General features: G+C 55.4%; 1 protein-coding gene across 4 annotated transcripts in view, besides 3 other annotated features; it reads right to left on the reverse strand.

The window, feature by feature from the left end:
* The window catches only part of ADAMTS7 (ADAM metallopeptidase with thrombospondin type 1 motif 7), a 52,259-nt gene that overhangs the window by 10,770 nt on the left and 24,168 nt on the right, over positions 1-17,321 (reverse strand). For 3 of the 4 annotated variants that reach the window (NM_014272.5, XM_047432122.1, XM_047432123.1), the window contains 8 exons: positions 7,469-7,613; positions 6,774-6,866; positions 6,213-6,358; positions 4,649-4,818; positions 4,192-4,325; positions 3,108-3,228; positions 1,610-1,854; positions 1,187-1,328 (listed from right to left, as the gene is read on the reverse strand). In NM_014272.5, coding sequence (NP_055087.2) covers positions 1,187-1,328; positions 1,610-1,854; positions 3,108-3,228; positions 4,192-4,325; positions 4,649-4,818; positions 6,213-6,358; positions 6,774-6,866; positions 7,469-7,613 — 1,196 coding nt within the window. Of the gene's footprint in view, positions 1-1,186; positions 1,329-1,609; positions 1,855-3,107; positions 3,229-4,191; positions 4,326-4,648; positions 4,819-6,212; positions 6,590-6,773; positions 6,867-7,468; positions 7,614-17,321 lie in introns of those variants that run through there. The other variant, XM_011521166.3, reaches the window with a different exon arrangement.
* Positions 3,888-4,389: an enhancer, noted in NCBI's record as "H3K4me1 hESC enhancer chr15:79066205-79066706 (GRCh37/hg19 assembly coordinates)". NCBI's record gives its function as "activates a minimal SCP1, AML or CMV promoter by ChIP-STARR-seq in primed H9 embryonic stem cells {active_cell/tissue: H9 hESC(primed)}" and the evidence as "EXISTENCE:reporter gene assay evidence [ECO:0000049][PMID:30033119]".
* Positions 14,971-15,140: an enhancer, noted in NCBI's record as "experimental_40965 CRE fragment used in MPRA reporter constructs". NCBI's record gives its function as "activates a minimal promoter by MPRAs in K562 erythroleukemia cells, with activity observed for both the introgressed and non-introgressed 15:79077373 or rs4887110 variant alleles {active_cell/tissue: K562}" and the evidence as "EXISTENCE:reporter gene assay evidence [ECO:0000049][PMID:34662402]".
* Position 15,056: a transcriptional cis regulatory region, noted in NCBI's record as "Neanderthal adaptively introgressed variant 15:79077373 (GRCh37/hg19 assembly coordinates) or rs4887110 in the experimental_40965 CRE". NCBI's record gives its function as "modulates activity of the experimental_40965 enhancer by MPRAs in K562 erythroleukemia cells {active_cell/tissue: K562}" and the evidence as "EXISTENCE:reporter gene assay evidence [ECO:0000049][PMID:34662402]".

Raw genomic sequence — 17,321 nt, forward strand, 5'->3', positions numbered from 1 at the left:
ACATGGTGAAACCCCATCTCTACTAATAATAAAAAAATTAGCCGGGCATGGTGGCACGTGCCTGTAAATCCCAGCTACTCGGGAGGCTGAGGAAGGAGAATCGCTGGAGCCTGGGAGGCGGAGGCTGCAGTGAGCCGAGATTGTGCCATTGCACTCCAGCCTGGGCAACAGAGTGAGACTCCATCTCTAACAAATAAAATAAAATAAAATAAATAAAATAAAATAAAATAGCAAAATAAAATAAAGACAGCTGTATTAGATAAAATGGGTTTCCTAGCTTTGGAAGGTATCTGCCCAGTTCTCCAGTTTCACTTTGTCATCATAATAGCATTTGAAGGAATGCTCAAATGTCTGTATCTCAGATTCCCAATTCTGAGACCCTGAGGATACTGAGTGTCAACAATGGGAAGACTGAGGGGAAAAGGGGAGAACTAAGAGACAAAGGGGGAAACTGAGGTGTGGGGAGATCAAGGAATGGCAGGGGAGACCAAGCAGGGGGAGGAAGACCGAGGGGCGTTGGTGGGGGGGACTAGGGGGCTGGGGGGAGACCAAGGAATGGTGGGGGAGACCGAGCTGTGAGAGGAGGACTGAGGGGTGTGGCGGGGGTACTGGAGGGCTGGAGGGAGACCGAGGGATATGGTGGGGAGACCGAGGGGTATGGGGGGAGACCGAGGGGTATGGGGGAGACTGAGAGGCATGCGGGGAGACTGAGGAGTATGGGAGGAGACAGAGGGCCAGAGGGGAGACTGAGGAGCAGTGGGGAGGAGACAGAGAGAGAGGGGACTGAGGAGCATGGGGAGAGAGGGAAATTTGGGGAGGAAGAGTCAGAGTTAATGAAATTGCCCTACTTTTTATAAATAGTTTAGGGAAATAAGTCAGTGTGGTGAGGGGCCACTGGACTGGTCTATCGAGGGGGAGCTGTGTCCCCTGGAGGGAGAACGCCAAGAGCTGGAGCACACTGAACATGCGCCGCGAGCCAGCACCCACCTGCCTCATCCATGTACCCTCCCAGCGGGCCTGGGACACAGGGCAATCGCTAGCCTCATCTCACAGATGGAGAACTGAGGCTCAGAGAAGCAAACTTCCAAACCCGTGGTGGCCCAGCAGTGAGCTGGGAGCTGAAGCCAGTGTCCCTGTCCAGACACTAAGCCCCTGCAGGTGGGGCTGTGCCTGCCCCACTTCTCACCTCTGCCGCAGGTGACTGTGCACTTGGTCCAGGGCCCATAATGCCAGGAGAACACGGGCGGCGGGACCTCGTCGTGGCCACCTGCCTCCCTGTGGATGGTGTACTCGTAGTGCACCCCAGGGTTGCTCTCCTGGAACAGCAGCTGGGTGGGCAGGCGGGGGCCCATGAGCACAAGGTGTCTTCTCCATCCACCCAGTCCTAAAGGAGCTGACCCCAGCCACCTCTGTGAACTGCAGCTACAAGATTGGGCCATTTTAAAGATGGGGAAACTGAGGTAGAGGCCGCAGCAGGAGGGCCTGGCTCAGAGCCAGGCTCTGTGACTGAACCAGGGCTCACTCCTCCAGGACGAGACCTGCCATGGAGGGTGCTGGGCCTGGGGACTCCGCCTCTGCTCCCCCCGCCTGGGCCACGGGAGGCAGGCACCTGGATCCAGACAGGCTCCTTGGTGGGACCCGGGGACGTGAGGTTCTCCCAGTTGCCCCTGCGTGCGTATGTGAAGGTGGTCCCTGCCACCTGGTAGTCCCCGTTCCACTGGATGGTCCAGCCACCATTGAGGAAGTACTTCTCCGGGTCCTCGCTCCGCAGTGCCAGGAAGTTGGCAGCCTCGGCAACCTCTTGGATGCGGATCTCGCGTGCGCCCGCTGGGATCAGCCCCACATCCACATACCCTGTCAGCCAAGGGTTGTGCATAGGTTGTGCCCAGGGTGAGAGGGTTGCTTATCCCCACCCGCTCCCCTCATGTCTCTCCCCACTTGCCTCCGCCTGCTGATGCCAAAGCTTTAAAGTCTGAGCTCCCTAAATTGCTCGGATCTGTCATGGGTCACCAAAACCTCGCAGAGGTGCCACAAATCCTGACCCCGTGGCCATGCCCCATCACTCCTCTCTTGGGGACCTACACTGGTCTCATCATAAGGCTGGATCCATTCCCTACTCTAAGGGCTGGCTGGCATCTTCTTTCTAAAAAAACCAAAGTGCCCAGGCCTTTCTCCTGGGACACCCTCCTCATCCCCATGCGGCCTGCTTTTATTCATTCACTTCCATCACACCCATCACGTGCCAGGCACTACTCTCAGCACCTCACATGTGTAAGCTCATGGGTAATGGCCCTATAGCATAGGTACTATTGTTATCCCCATTTTACAGATGAGCAAAGTGAGGCAGACAGGGATAGTAACGTACATGAACATCCTGCTGCGGTATGAGCAGCCTCCATGGCCAGTGCTTTATCCACCACACTGCACTGCATCTCTGGGAGAAAATCTAAGCTTCTCAGCCTGGCACTCAAGGCCCCATAGCTGGCCCTGCCTTCCCTTCTTGCCTCCAGGCTCTGGCACAAGCTCTTCTTTCCTCCATTTGGAATGCCCTTTCCATCTCTTCTGAGTTTTATGATTCAGCTCGACTTCCGCCTCCTACAGGAAACCTTCCCTGACTTCCCCAGGCCAGGACCTTCTTCCTCAGTGCTCCCACAGCCCTCCGGGCCTCCCTCCACTGCACTGGTCACACCAAAAGGTTCTGTCCCCCTCCAGGACTAAGCGCTTCACCTGCATGTCCCCATCACCTAGCACACAGTCAGTACTTGAGCAACGTGTGCAAAACAGACCGGAGGTGAGGACACGGAGCTGGGGTCTCAGAAGCTTCAGGAGGAGACTACCATTCTTTGGAAGGCCAAGGGGCCACACACAAGCCGGGTTGGCCCTATCTGGGGTGTCTGGGACAGGAGGACTCCCCATGGGGACAGGTCTCTGCACATGGGCCAGGGGTCCCCTGACTCCTGCAAGAATCCACCCCAGCAAGGCTTCCCTGCTTAGCCATCTCCAGGCTGGGTGGGGGCCACGAGGCCAAGGACAGGGGCCCAGGGGAGATGGGGAAGGGGCCATCAGGTGAAGAGCATACCCCTCCCCACAGCGGTCCCACCCCATACCCAGGCCCTCGGCCTCCTCGAAGGTCCCGCTCACGGTGTGGCAGGTGGAGCCGTTGCCGTGGCACACACCACAGCGGTCCTCCATAGCACCGGAGTCAATCTCGAAGTCACAGCCCACGTTCTGCAACACACAAGGAAGGGAGGGCCCTGGTGCTGGCGGCCAGCCCTCTGTGGCCCCAGCCCCGGGGCCAGCCAGAGTCAGGAGAAGAAAGCTGGGAGTTGGGGTCGGGAGGCCTCTCTCTGGCCCTGCCCCACCTCAGCTGTGCCTCTGACCCAGGTGAACCTCTCTACTTCCCTAAGCCTCAGTTTCCTCAGATGTGAGACGGGGAGACCCACCCCTCCCTTAAAGGCATGTCATGAGCATCACATGAGACAAGAGAAGGGAAGAGTTCTGCAAAGCCTGCGGGCAGGCAGGGGATCTGACACGCCACGGGCTCCTGAGCAGCGCGTGCAGGGAATTTCAACGTCAAAGGCACTGGGGGTTGGCACCTCCCTCCTGGTCCTCCTCGGAGCCCAGGCCTTGATACCCCAGAGGCTTAGAGGGCAAGAAGCAGGGACAAGTAGGTCGCTGGGGACATGGGCAAAGAGGAGAGGCCGTCATTGTTATTAAAAATAAGAATAGAAATTGTTACCACACACTGAGGGCTACTCTTTGCGGCTCAGAGCCCTCTGTGTCACCTATGCCACCTCATTTAACCCCTTCTATCAGGGAGCAAACCACTGCCTGTGGTCAGCCAGCCAGCAAGAGGTCAAGCCACTGCCTGAGCTCCGGTTTCCTGGCTGGGGCGGTGCTGGTGCAGGCATCCAGGGAGACGCAGGGGGGCGAGGCCTGACTGGAAGGGTCCCCAGTGCCAGGAGGCGTGGTAGGGGCTTTGCCTTAGAGGTCATAGAGGGTACGGGCTGGGAAGCCCGATGGTAGAGCATGGGGAGGGTGGCCCGAGGAGGACCAGGAGGGACCCAGGAGAGAACCTGGGGCCCGCCATGGCCCGAGGAGGATCAGGAGGGACCCAGGAGAGAACCTGGGGCCTGCCAGTGGGGCTGGGGGCAGGCAGTGCTGGGAGAGCCTCTTCCTAACCAGGCACACCTTACAGATGCCGTTGATGCAGAGGTCCCGGCTGGCTCGGACCTGGTAGCAGGGGGTGCCATCGACCACGGCGTCCCGCAGCTTCTCGGCAAAGTACTCATTCGCGGGCCGGCAGTGCAGCTCGCAGGGGTTCACTGAGGGCCCAAGTAGAAGAGTCATCAGCAACAGCTGGGGCGGGAGTATGGAGGCCACCAGGAAGACCCCTCCGTGACACACATCCATGGCAGGCTGGAGGCTCCCAAGCAGCACCAACATGCTGGAGGCTCCGGCTGGGCTGATAGCTATCTGCAAGGCTGCAGACTGGGGAGCTAGGGGCGAGCAGCAGCCCCAGGGGACAGTGGGAGTGGCCCAGGCTTGGGGTGAAGACTGGGCCTCCTGCTCGCATCACAGGGTAACCTTGGACCCACACACCCCCAGCCCTCTAAGCCTCAATGTCTCCATGGGGGGCAGCACTCACCGTCATTGACCACGGGCACCCATGTGTGCAGCTGGCCCTTGTAGAGCATAGCGTCAAAGTGGCTGCACTGGACGTGGCGGAAGGAGGGGCGGCCAGCAGGGCAGGCCTGCAGGTTGCAGAGGCGGAAGCGCTTGCGCTCACCCACACAGTATCTGCCTTTGTATTTGGGCCTGTGGGGAGAACCGGGGTGGGCCCCAGTGACGGCCCAGTGAGTGCTACTGCATGGCCACAGCCCAGAGCAAGCAACTTCCTCCTGCATCCACACCCCGAGATCCCTGCTGCCCAGCTTTGTGCACGCTGCTCCCCTCCCTTGGGCTGCCCACCCTCTGGCCCAGACACACTCTCCCTGTTTGTAAGGACCTGTGGGGAGGTGGCAGCAGGAAGCCTGAGCTCTGCCCCCAACCTACAGTGTGACCGTGGGCAAGTCTTCGGCCACCCTCTGGGCCTCAGTTTCCTCATGTATAAAGTGGGGTTGGGGCTGCTTCTGCAGAGGGCTGTTGAGAAGCTGGGACAAGCTGCAGGCATGACTAGCACTGGCTGGAGGGACTGCTCCGAGTCTCCAGCCCATGACACCAGCATCCTAACGAGCCCTTGAGTCCTCAGCCTTCCTCCTGGTGGCAGTACCCCCAGCCCGGGTCTAAAGGAAGTGCCTAGGGCCCCAGCCAGCTGAAAGGTCTGACCTAGCACAGCTCCTGAAATCCTCCGCATCTAGGCCAGGGTCGCTGGCCCCCACCCAGCTCAGACCTGGAGGCCAGGAGGCAGGGAGGGGCACAGGCCACTCTTGGGTAAGCGCAGGGCCCTGGGTGGGGCTGGCTGTGAACCCCATGCCTGCCCCGGGTGGCCTCCTGAAGTGAAGATCAGCCGGGTAGTGCCTCGGTCTACAGTACCACTTGCCTCTGCTTCTCACCAGATCTTCACACCCCCTGCACCCCCACCCCCCCGTTTAGATGGGGAAACAGAGGCCCAGAGAGGTGAAGTCGCTCACGTCAGGCCACCCCTTCAGTGCTGTCCCATCCTCCCAGCTGCTCCGTCTCATCTCAGACCTTTGTTGAGCCTCTGAGGCCACCAAGCCCCTCCCGCTGAGTGCCCACTACAGATGAGCTGCAGGGCTGAGGGCCTGGCCTGCATAAACTGCATTTGCCCCTGACTACAACTTTACTGGATGGGCACTGCTATTATACAGATGGGGAAATGGAGGCCCAGAGAAGGGGTGAAGAGGAGATTCGAACCCTGAGCCATCTAAGGTCCAGGGCCCATGCTCTTCCCCACTGCCCTCTCCTGCCTCCTTCCAGCCAGCAGCTGCTTTGCCATGTGGCCTCTGATGAGTCTCTCTAGTCTCTGGGCCTCAGTGTCCCCCTCTCTGGAAAGGGGTCAGAAGTGGGGACCCTGTCAGCCCCCAGAACACTCCTTGAAAGTGACTTAAGGTGGCCTGGACACTCGGACTGACCATTATCAGGACACTTCTAAGAGCCAGGGGCTGGGACAGAGCCAAGCTCCTGCAATCGGCTGACTGTTTGGGTCCCTCTGTCCCACTGCCCAAGGGCACCCTGGGCCCCACACTCACGTAGGCTGCGTGCACTGCCGCTCGGCGCTCTGTACGCCCATGCCACAGCTCCGTGAGCAGATGGACCAGGCGCTCCAGCCAGACCAGCCACCATCCACGGCCTCGGGCCGGAAGCCCACGGGTACGCACTCCCCACTGAGACACCACTACTGAGACAGACGGAGGTAGAGCCACCCCACCCCCAAGTCTATCAGTCATCCTCACCCTAGTGAGAACAAGGTGGGTGGGAAGGCTGCGAAAGGCACAGAGGGGAAGGATGGAAGGTGAGAGAGGCACCCTCACAATCATCACAATCATCTGTGACCCAGGCCACATGGAGGAGCTGAGCGGGGAGTAAAACAGCCCACATGCTGACTCAGCTGAAGACACCCTGGGGAATCATGGAATCAAGCCCTGGCCCCAATGCCTCCACTTTGCAGATGGGGGCTTGGGCTGCAGAGAGCGTGGGGCTCTGCTAGGAGCACAAGCAAGACTGTGAGCCGGGGCTGACCCCAGGGCCTGGTCACAGCAGGAAGTCTGGCCTCTCACACACCCACTGCCGGGACTGGGGACATCCCCTACCTTATTCTCCCCACACCGGGTGCCGTCCACAGCTGCATCCAGCTTGGAGTGACAGGTGGTCCCCACAGAGCACCAGAGTGTGTGGCAGACATTCTGCGAGGAGGAGGGCATGGGCCATACCCTCACACCCTCCCCAGTGCCGCCACCCACCCTGCCCCCCTCCCTGTCCCCAAGGGTCCCCTGGGCACCCCTCCACATGGCAGGGGCCCACAGACCCCCAGAGGTTCCTTCTTGTGTGCCTGCTCCCACCTTCCTCCCCGGACCATGTGGTGGTGTGGGGCGCCCGGGGCTGCGCTGCTCAGAGCGGTCCCCAGCTGTCCACACCTCTCCCGGCCCAGCCCCTCCTCTGGAAACACTCCTGTTAGAAGATCACTTCAGGCGATCTTCGCCAGGATAAACAGACCCTCTCCACAGGGGTTCCTTTTCCCTCTTATAAGCCAGCTCCAGAGAGGCGAAGGGACTTGTCCGAAGGGTCACAGTTGGTCCATGGTTGACCCAGAATTCAGAGCTGGGTCTGTGGCCGCCCATCCCTGGCCTCTCCCACAGGCCACTTGACGTCTCACAGTGTCACTCAGGGGCGCAGCCCAGGCCAGGAGAGGTTGCTCCCAGGCTGGCATCCACGGGCTGGTGAGAGCTGCCCCCTGAGCCCTCCTGCCGGGTCCCCACACCCCCACACCCACACCGGCCCCACTCACATCCATGTCCTCGCAGAAGGCAGAGTAGGCCCCGTACTGGAGGCGGCACTGGTGGCTTACATCATAGAGGACGCCAGGTGGCACCGAGGGGAAGTCGATAATGTCCTTGGCAGGAGGGTCGTCCAGGCACAGGCCCCACCCACGGCTAAAGATGGGACGGGAGGATGGAGGGGGGCGCAGCCTGTGAGACCCATCGGAGAAGCCTTGGTGGGGCCGGGACAGGAGGAGAGGTGGGAGGGGGCACAGAGCCCTACAACTGTAGGAAACTCCAGCCTCCCCGCTCGGCTCAGCCGATCCTCCACCTGCAGCCAGCAGCACAGGCCCTCCCGGCCTCTCTCATCTCACCTCCTGGGCACTCCAGCTGGCTAAACAATCCCAACCCCAATCCCAGGCCTCCGCACACGCTGCCAGGGCCCTTCCCTCAGAAGGCCTCCTGGACCACCAAGCCGTCATGTGGCCCTGCTCTCCGACCCTGCAGCCTCCGTGTCTGAGCCCAGACCCTGGAGCCAGGCCCGACAAGGATCCGGAGAACATCACATCACAGTTGACACAACAGAGCCTCCGACGGCCCCACCCAGGCAGAGACCTTGGGTCATCTGTGGAAAGGCGAGGTCTGGAAAGCAGCCCCTCCCCTGGGAGAGAGCCCAGGGCAACCATGCCTGTCCCGTTTCCCCCACACCCCGACAGGGCTGGCCTCCGGCCTCTGTCATACCCTATCTACTCCTGCCTTCCTCCAGCTGGCATTCCCTGGCAGCGGTAGCGGGGAAACTGGCAGACACAAGCAGGCGCCATCTGTGTCCACCACACACTCCTGCTGCTGTGGTGTGGTGAAGACAAGGCTGCTCAGACACAACACCATGAGGCAGGAAGCATGGAAGCAGGGACCCTGGGGAGGGCGGCCCAGTCCCTTCTGGCACCCGCTTCTGCCCCTGCCTCACTCTGTACAACCCTCAGGCATGCTATTGCTTCTGGGACCAGTGACCAGCCTGCTGCCCCTGCTGGACCTTAGGTGGCCACCACTATGGCTTAGCAGCAGGAGTGCCCTGGCATGCTGACCACCCTGCCCATGGCTCATTGCTGTCCTGGAGGAACTGGAGGAAGGTTTGCTGCCTTCTGGGGGCAGCAGTGGCTGGGGAGAATTGAGCCACACAGACTTGCAGGGCTGGGGACGACCCAGGCAGCCACGACTTGGGCAGAAACAATGGAGGGAGGCAGGACCCGCGGGACCTGGGGCCTCTAGCCAGGCAGAGGAGATGGGGAGGCACAAACCCTCCAGTTCTCCAGTCTGGGTGGCCTCAGGGCAGGTGGCGCCAGGACAGAGGGTCAGGATGAGCATACAGTCCTGATTGGGACAGGCAGGGGGTTGCACAGGGAAGAAGGGCAAAGGTGATAGATCCTGGAGTCCAGCAGGGAGAGAAAGAGACACTCCGAGATGTGGAGAGGCTGGGAGAACACGAAAGGGTCAGGAAACAGGGCCAAGACCACTGAAGGCAGGTGTGGAGAGAGGCTGGGAGGGTGGATCAGACCATGGACTCCCGAAGCCCTGATTTCAGAGGAGGGGGCCTGGCAGCTTGGAGATCCAGAGTGGAGTGGGTGTTTGCGTGGTCTCCTAAATCCCCCGACCAGTGACAGGCCCCCGGCCCTGCCCAGAGCTGCGGAGAAGAAAGCCAAGGTGACCAGACTTCTACTGAGAACCCTGGAATCCTCCTGGAATCACTCAGACTGCCCATGCTGGCTGGAAACAGATCCTCTAACATGGGCGTTGGCAGATGAGCAGCTGCTGGATGCAGTCCTAGTGCCCAAGATGATCACATGCCAGGCTGGTCCAGGGTGCTGGGGGCATACCCTCTCATTTGCTCCTCACAACATCCTGGGCAGACTCTACCATCATCTCCCCTCATGCACTCAGGGCCCATAGGTCACTGGCCCCGGGTCGCACAAGAGAGATGTGATGGCCAGGATCTGGAGCCAGGCCCAGGCTGCCTGCACCAGGCTGTGTCTACTCACTGGGCTACCCCCAGTGCAGGGCTCCTCCCATTCAACTGCGAGCCTGGCCTCAAATACTTCACCCCACATACAAGTTCAAAACCATGGCAGCGAGACCTGGTGGGGAGAAAGGAGTGTCCCAAGTGCTCCTGCGGCTTGGGGCTCCCTGAGCCTCCCTGGGCCTGCACCCGGGGCAGAGTATCAGCGGCGGGTGGTGGGGTCAGCTGGCCCTGGGCTCCCTCCTTCCCGCTAGCATTCTGTGGCTCGAGGAGGTAGACTGGGGGCTCACCCATCCCAGCCAGGGGGTCCTCTGACCCTGGGGCTGAGGGGTCCAATGCACCTCATCCCAGCACCAACAGTCCCTGGGCTGCAGCCCAGCCCTTCTGCTTCCTGGCTGCCCCAGTGCTGACTCGCTGCACATGTGGCTCCTGCGGGCCTGCTGTTGGGCAGCTGAAGCCACAACAACCTCTCAGCCCACCCTGGGTGTGTGGGAGAAGTCGGGAGCATGAGGCGACCCTCACAGAATCCACTGTGAGAATCAGGCCGAGGTGCTGTCTTGGGAGTCAGAAACCCAAGTTCTACTCTTTGCCTGGCTATAGATGCTGTGTGGCCTTGGGCCTTCACGTCCTCATCTACAAGAGGCTGATCCCAAGCTACAGGGGTATAAATAGCAGTGTCTTCTTGGGAAAAATCACACAGGCGGCCGGCAGCCAGCCCTTCCTTCCTCTGGCAGGCTCACTGCCAGGTCCTCTGCGCTGCCGACACACCCGGATCCCCAAACCCGTCAGCCCTTCCCCTCCACGCCCCTCCTTAAGCTAATTATAGCGGGGCTGGGCAGTCCCACAAGAGGTCAAAGGAGACAGTAGGTGACTCCAGTCAGAAGCCTCACTCTCACCTTGAGACTGCAAAGAGCTGCCTGCCACTGACAGGAGAGACCTGGGGGCCCGCTCCCCTGGCCACCCCTGGCCACCCCAGGGATCTGGTCATGGAGTCACTGAATGGGGGGTCCACGGGGTGAAGTGAAGGACCCCACATGTGACCCAGCCTGCCTCTCTCCCTGTAGAAATGCTGGCTTTGAGGAAAGCAGGGACCAGGGCCTCCCCTCCTCCCCACCCAGGTCCAAGTTGACACTGGTGAAATGCTGTGACCTCTCCCCAGGGTCCCTTAAAGCACCTGTCAGTCCGGAAAGGTTCTTAGAGTTCTTCAGGTCAACCCTCTTGGACAAGCTCCAGAAGCTACCCTCCAGTGCCCCCCCACCACCTCCTGAGGGTTCTTCTGCCCCACCCTATACTCGCATGGCCCCGGCCTCTGCCCAGCCTGCCCTCCACTTACAGCAGCACCCTTCTTCCTCGGCGTGGAAGCTGGCCTTTAGAAGGCAGGCTCCTTCTCCGAGTCACTGTTCCTGACCCCAGGAGGGCTTGGTGGCCCTCTCCCCATTCCTACAGACCCACGAGGACTGCATGCCTCAGTGCCAATCATCCCCAACTGTCATCTGTCCATCTCCCCATGGTGTGAGGGCCTGGAGGACAGGCACCTGGAGGTCTGTCTCCTTTACCACGGTCCCCACACACAGGGCCTGATGGACATGGAGTCTGTGGACACAGCAAGAACGAGTTTGGATTCAGCCCTGTGGGTCTACCTGGCTGGATAAGCATCTATATGCAGGAAGCCAAAGGGCTTCAGGACCAGCCAGGATGAGAGGGTGGTCTGTGAGTGCCTCTGCGACGCCCCCAAGTCCTAGAAACACTGCCTGACTGTTTGGCACTTTCGGTGAATCTCACTCATTCTGTCCCCCAACCTGCTTGGGTGGGGCCCATCCTGTCTCTCCTGTCCCATCCCCAGCAAGGAGACCAAAGGCTGCAGGCTGGAAGACAGGCTGCTGCCACCCTCCCCACCTCCGCACACCCTCTTCCTTCCACCTCCTGGGCCTCGGGAGGGCCCTGCTGCCTGACTCCCAGGATGCAAAGGTGAAAGTGTGAAAGGACCTTGGGAGGATGGGGTTCTTCTTCCTCCCAAACACCCCTCCATTGGGGAGGCACGTATTGCTCTGCTTCTGTCTGGTTCTCCCCGGTGCCAAGGCTCTGGGAGGCCCCGGCTGGCTCTGACTCTCACCCTGTCCTCTCACCCTCACCCCAGGCCCCGAGCCAAGTCCCTCAAGCATTCCAGCAGCTGAATGAGGACAGAGACTTGTCTGTCTGTCTGTCTGTCCTAGAACCAGGCTGTTGGGCAGCACCCTGGGTCTGGGCAGCTGGGAACAAGCCCTGGGGGTGCTGTGGGGGCAGCTACTATTCTGATTTTCTGAAGCCATTCTCTCATTCTCTGCCTCTCTCTGGGGAAGGAGACACACCCTCCTCCCCATCTTCAGGCCACTTCCCTGGTTCAAGTCCATCCCATCTATCACTTGGTAACAGTGGAAGGAATAGTAATGAGTGTGCGTGAAATGCTTACTGTGTGGCAGGCACTGTGCTAAGCACTGCACGCGTTTTCTCACTTATTCCTCATATCACATGCACAAGGCAGGCCCATCATCATGTCCATTTTTTGAGGCTTAAGAGCTAATATAACTTGTCTGCCAACACAGGTAGAAGCCTGGGCCACAGTCTAGGTTCTTTTTTTTTTCCCAAGATGGTCTTGCCCTGTCGCCCAAGCTGAACTGCAGTGGTGTGATCTTGGCTCACTGCAACCTCCACCTCCCAGGTTCAAGCAATTCTCCTGCCTAGCCTCCCGAGTAGCTGGGATTATAGGCGTGCACCACCACGCCCAGCTAATTTTTGTATTTTTAGTAGAGACAGGGTTTCACCATGTTGGCCAAGCTTGTCTCGAACTCCTGACCTCAAGGGATCCGCCTGCCTCAGTCTCCCAAAGTGCTGGGTTTATAGGTGTGAGCCACCGTGCCTGGCCAGTCTAGGTCCTTAACCACCAAACAAAACTCTTCTCTGCTTCCAATCCCACCCCCCACCCCAGTACTCCCTCTTCCACTGGAGGCCAGCATCCTTGCTCTTACATCCCTAATGGACCTGGTCACATCCCTGCTTAAGCCCCACAGTGAGTGGACTTCTAGAAAAATATGGCATGTTGAGCAGACAGATTTATCGCTGCTCCCTTCCAAAACTCCACTATGATGACAGTAGAGGAAATAAACAAGGCATAAATCCATAAGGGGTGATGATGGGTAATGAAGGATGTCAACAAGATTCTGGAAGCTGGGAAGCAGATGGCCAGGCAGTAGCTGACTTGGTAGAGTGATAAAAGCTGAGAGCCAACTGCCTGCAGGGAGGAACCACCCAGAAGGAGAAGCCCGGAAAGGCTCAGGAATGGAGTTTCCAGGGACCCCTCAGGGCCTTAGTGCCAGGAGGGCTGAAGACAGTAGGGCTGAAAGTCTGTAAGAACCGATCAGACCCTAGAGCCCCTCCCCAACCCTGAGTAGCCAAGTGATGGCCACCTGCCACCCAGCAGAGGGCCGGGGATCACTCCCTGGGGAGGGTGAACCAGGAGGCTCTGGCCCAGGAATGGTAGACATACATGAAGGCCCAAGGCAGAAGGACCTACAGAGAAAAGGGGACGAGCAAAATCTACACATTGAAGGGTAAGAAACACGCCAAGCTGGAATGCTGCAGCCAGACATACACTCTCCCAGGAAAAGCCTAGAGGATTCCTCTCGGAAAACTGAATCACTCAGAAAAATGACCTCAGATACTGAAATTAGAGGATCTCCCCAAAATAGCCCCCATCCAAACCAGTCCTTCAGCAGAGACTTGGAAGAGTCCTGCCCAAGTCCACAAACTGCACAATGAGTATCTCTGCATCTCCTTGCTATATATGAAATACAGCCAATGCATTTTAAGAAAACTTTTTTTTGAGACAGAGTCTCTCTCTGTTGCCCAGGCTGGAGTACAGTGGCGCAATCTCAGTTCACTGCAGCCTCTGCCTCCCGGGTTCAAGCGATTCTCCTGCCTCAGCCTCCTGAGTAGCTGTGATTACAGGCACCAGCCACCAGGCCTGGCTAATTTTTTGTATTTTTTTTTTTTAGTAGAGACAGGGTTTCACCATGTTGGCCAGGCTGGTCTCAAACTCCTGACCTCAAGAGATCCGCCTGCCTTAGCCTCCCAAAGTGCTGGGATTACAGGCGTGAGCCACCACGCCTGGCCAAGGAAACTGTTAACATGAAACAAATATTTTTTTAAAAATAACCCAAAGGAAAGAAAAACATTTCAGGGAACAGAAGAAAAAAGTCAAATCCATGTAAGTAATAACCTCGCAGAGATAAGAGAACATACTGTACCCATGAAACAAGAATAGGATCAAAAGGTGCACAGGTTGAGCATCTCCAATCTCAAAATCCAAATGCTCCAAAATCCAAAACTTTTGAGCACTAACATGATGCTCAGAGGAAATGCTCTTTGGAGCACTTCAGATTTTGGACTTTCAGACTGGGGATTCTGAACTGCTAAGTATAATGCAAATACTCAAAAATTAAAAAAAAAATCCAAAATCTAAAACACTTCTGGTCCTAAGTATTTCAGATGAGACACTCAATGTATATTTAGTGAATGAGAAAGTTTAAGAAATTAAAAGTAGAATGAAAAAAATGAAAATTTTAATAGAAGGATTGTAAAGTATAGATAAATCAGATGCCCCCTAGAAAATAGAAACAGGTGGCTGGGCACGCTGGCTCATGACTGTAATCCCAGAACTTTGGGAAGCTGAGGGAGGAGTCCAGAAGTTCAAGCCCAGCCTGAGCAACACGGCAAAACCCCATCTCTAGAAAAAATTAAAAATTAAAAAATTAGCTGGGTGTGGTGGCACACACTTGTTGTCCCAGCTACTCGGGATGCTGAGGCAGGAGGATCATTTGTGCCTGGGAGCCCAAGGCTGCAGTGAGCCATGATTGTGGCACTGCACTCCAGCCTGGGCAACAAAGCGAGACTCAAAGAAAGAAAGAAAGACAGAGAGAGAGAGGGAGAGGGAGAGGAAGAGGGGGGAGGGAGGGAGGGAGGGAGGGAGGATAGAAAAGAAAATAAAATAGAAAGAGATGAAAAATTGTAAAATGTTTAAAAATAAGAAAGTGAGAGAATAGCTGAATATTAAGGGTTCCAGAAAGAGAAAATGTAAGAAAGTTGTCAAATAAATAATACAACAACAGTTCAAGAACTGAAGGGCACAAGTTTCTAGATTAAAACAGTCCAATGAGTGCTCCCTCAAATTAAAATAGACCAAGGCATATACTGTAAAATTTAAAATCACCAAAAAGAGAGAGAGAAAGAGAGAGAGTCCTAAAAGCTTCCAGATTTTTTAAAAGGTCACATTCAAATCACAATGGTATGGGACCTCTACAGAGCAATATTGGAAACTAGAAGACAACAGAAAAATGCCTTCGACATTCTGAAGAAGAGTCACTTCCAACCCGAAGTTGATATCAAATCAAAATATCAATCAGATGTGAGGGAAGGATAAAGACACTTTGAGACAGGCAAACCATTTACCTCCATGCACTCTTTCTCAGAAAGCTGCTTGAGGATGTGCTCCACCAAAACAAATTAAAAAAAAAAAAAAGGTACCTCCCCATAAAAAAAGTAGCATGGGATCCAAGAAACAGGAAGACCCTCCATGAATATTTTGGGGCAGGTCTAGAAAGCATCCAGTCTAAACTGGAGGACACAGGGAAGTTGGGAGGAGGGTCCAAGAAAGAAGGGAACTGCTGGATTATCTGGTAGGGATTACCTTTGGGAAAACTGGATTAAAAGACATCTTATAAAACTATTAAAGGATCTGGAAGGCCTGGAGAAGCAATGAAAACCAAGCAAATAAAAAACTTGTTCTTAAAAAGAAATGCCATCTAGATGGGGCGCAGTGGCTCTCATCTGTAATCCCAGCACTTTGGGAGGCCAAGGTGGTGAATCACTTGAGGTCAGGAGTTCGAGACCAGCCTGGCCAACATGGAAACCCCATCTCTACTAAAAATACAAACATTAGCTGGGCAGGGGTGGCAGGTGCCTGTAATCCCAGCTACTTGGGAGGCTGAGGCATGAGACTCACTTGAACCCAGGAGGCAGAGGCTGCAGTGAGCTGAGATTGCACCACTGTACTCCAGCTGGAGCAGCAGAGTGAGAGTCTCTCAAAAAAAAAAAAAAAAAGAAAAGAAAGAAAGAAATGCCATCTTATTACAACACTTAGTTCAGACATCAAGATTTACAGCCATAATAATGAAAATGCGGAATATGGACTTAATCCAAATATGTTAACACTAAATTGGGATGAAAAGTGAGGGGACAAATGTATGTACAGGAAGTGATGCAAGGGTGCTAAATCCCAACCTTCCAGATAATATCTAAACTGGAAAATCAATAAATGAGAGTCTAGCAATACTTTTTGGAAATAGGAAAGTAAATACAAGAAAAAGCTAACAATGTTAAGTTTGAAGGTGGTTGCCTAGAAAAAAGCAATGGAGGGTGGGGAGAAGTGGGGCAGGTGTACAATGCTCTGCTGTTGCCATCTTCTATTATTTTTTTTTTTTGAGACGGAGTTTTTTTGCTCTTGTTGCCCAGGTTGGAGTGCAGTGGCGCGATCTTGGCTCACTGCAACCTCCGCCTCCTGGGTTCAAGTGATTCTCCTGCCTCAGCTTCCCAAGTAGCTGGGATTACAGGCACACGCCACCACACCTGGCTAATTTTTGTATTTTCAGTAGGGAAGGGGTTTCACCATGTTGGCCAGGCTTGTCTCGAACTCCTGACCTCAAGTGATCCACCTGCCTCAGCCTCCCAAAGTGCTGGGATTACAGGCATAAGCCACCACAAGCAAGGTCCGGACAGTAAGCAAGGTCTGATGGGACAAAAGAGCCTGTATCTGAGCAGAGGAGACACAGGCAATGTCTGTGTCCACCATTCCTTGCTGCCCCATTTGCATCTCACATTTACTTTGGTCCATGAGCTCAGAACCTATAATGTGTAGGAGTTCGGTGAGACTCAAAGCAATTAGATGTTAAACATGTTATGTCAACAACTGAGTAAGGGACAGGAGAGCACTGACAGGCCCAGAGGCTGCATTTTCCATTTGAACCAGACTTACTTCAAATGCAGAAAGAAGACAATGACCAAGGTGCCCCATCATCCTTTCTTACCCATGTTAACACCCCTGTATTAGCCAATCGCTATGCAGAAAATGAAGACACGGGAGGAAAGAGAACCCCACAGTTCCTTCTCCTTTCAGTCTTTCCTTCCTCATTGGTAAGAAAAGGTAGACAGCCTGGGTAGAATGTGCACATACCAAGGAGTGAGATGAAACCAGTTGAGATAATTTTATTCTGTTTCATCCTCTGGTAAATATGAGCTACAAAAGACGAATTGTATAATTTCAGTGACTCTGCATACAAGTTAATACAGCTCACCTTTGAACAACATGGATTTGAACTGCACAGGTCCACTTACATGTGGATTTTTTTTCACCTCTGCCACCCCTGAGATCATCCCCTGCCTTTCTCCTCCCTCCTCAGCCTACTCAACATGAAGAGGATGAGGATCCTCTTCCACTTAATGAATATCCACTTCCACTTAATGAGCAGTGAACATATTTTCTCTTCCTTATGATTTCAATAACATTTGCTTTTCTCTAGCTTACTTTATTGTAAGAATACAGTATATATTATATACAACATACAAAATATGTGTTAACTGTTTATGTTATCAGTAAGGCTTCCAGTCAACAGTAGGCTATTAGCAGTTTTGGGCGAGTCGAAAGTTATACATGGATTTTCAATTGCACAGGAGTCAGCACCCCTGACCCCCGAGTTCTTCTGGGGTCAGCTATACTCATATTTGCATTTAAACCTGGCACTGCACAAAATAAAGATGAATGGTACAATTTATGCCAA

This window comes from Homo sapiens, chromosome 15, assembly GCF_000001405.40.
Source record: "Homo sapiens chromosome 15, GRCh38.p14 Primary Assembly".
NCBI classification, from domain to species: domain Eukaryota; kingdom Metazoa; phylum Chordata; class Mammalia; order Primates; family Hominidae; genus Homo; species Homo sapiens.